Source organism: Homo sapiens, chromosome 1, assembly GCF_000001405.40.
Source record: "Homo sapiens chromosome 1, GRCh38.p14 Primary Assembly".
NCBI lineage: Eukaryota > Metazoa > Chordata > Mammalia > Primates > Hominidae > Homo > Homo sapiens.
Genome location: NC_000001.11, coordinates 257,667 through 259,356, shown reverse-complemented (window position 1 = coordinate 259,356; position 1,690 = coordinate 257,667). Strand labels below are relative to the sequence as shown.

At 35.6% G+C, this 1,690-nt stretch overlaps 1 pseudogene; it reads left to right on the top strand.

Moving 5' to 3' along the window:
• On the top strand, window positions 321-846 carry RPL23AP21 (ribosomal protein L23a pseudogene 21; annotated as a pseudogene).

Here is a 1,690-nt window from a genome sequence, read left to right as displayed (position 1 = left end):
ATACCATCTCCCAACATCTAGAGGGATGTGTTTTCTCATAATACAATTCCTCAGTGTGGCAGAAAAAAACATGTTTATTAACGGGCCAAAATATCTTTAGTCTCTCTGTAAAAACAGGAAGCCAAAAGTATATAAACTTGAATTATTTATGTTCAGTAATTAATGTTTTAGTATTGTATCTTATTTATAAATGGTCTAGATATTTAATGCAAATCTTTTACTTAGCTTAACTTTAAGGTTAAAAATTACCAAAAGTACTTTGGAAACTATTCTTAGGCAGATTTACTGTAAACAAATTATTTTTGAAATAATGTTTTTCGCTTTTCACAAGACGGCACCGAAAGCGAAGGAAGCTCCTGCTCCTCCTAAAGCCGAAGCCAAAGCGAAGGCCTTAAAGGCCAAGAAGGCAGTGTTGAAAGGTGTCCGCAGCCACACGCAAAAAAGAAGATCCGCATGTCACTCACCTTCAGGCGGCCCAAGACACTGCGACTCCGGAGGCAGCCCAGATATCCTCGGAAGAGCACCCCCAGGAGAAACAAGCTTGGCCACTATGCTATCATCAAGTTTCCGCTGACCACTGAGTCGGCCGTGAAGAAGATAGAAGAAAACAACACGCTTGTGTTCACTGTGGATGTTAAAGCCAACAAGCACCAGATCAGACAGGCTGTGAAGAAGCTCTATGACAGTGATGTGGCCAAGGTCACCACCCTGATTTGTCCTGATAAAGAGAAGGCATATGTTCGACTTGCTCCTGATTATGATGCTTTCGATGTTGTAACAAAATTGGGATCACCTAAACTGAGTCCAGCTGGCTAACTCTAAATATATGTGTATCTTTTCAGCATAAAAAAAATAATGTTTTTCATAAGAATGACAACTTAATTAGAATCAAATCTATAAGCTTTAAGATTTTACGTTTCTAGTAAGTATAATATTAGCTTATTTGACTAGAACTCAAGCAGAATAGGAATTTATGCTTGTTTTATATTCAATAATGATAATTTTGAAGATATAGTTGTTTTATTACACCAAAAATACTATATTAATCTTATTTAACTAAGTTTTATCCAAATCATGTTAACTTAAGAAACATTTGATCAGTTCCTATATTTCTAGGAGTTTGGTGAATATTTATTTATAAATGCTTATTTTTTTCCAAGCCAAGTTAGAATAGAGCACTTTTAGAGGTTTTCATAAATGAATTTTGCAATGCTCTCTGGAGTTAAGAAAATATCACATATACATAACATACATTAATAGATACACAAACACAAATAGAGATTTCATAGCTTTCATCCTGAAATTTCAGCCATGAATCAGGCATAAATATTCTGATGGTTAATTTCAGACATCTACTTGATCGGATTGAGAGACACACATAGCTGGTCAAACACGATTTCAGCCATGAATCAGGCATAAATATTCTGATGGTTAATTTTAGACATCTACTTGACTGGATTAAGAGACACACATAGCTGGTCAAACGTGATTTCAGCCATGAATCAGGCATAAATATTCTGATGGTTAATTTTAGACATCTACTTGAGTGGATTAAGAGACACACATAGCTGGTCAAACACAATTTCAGCCATGAATCAGGCATAAATATTCTGACGGTTAATTTTAGACATCTACTTGATCGGATTGAGAGACACACATAGCTGGTCAAACACGATTTCAGCCATGAATC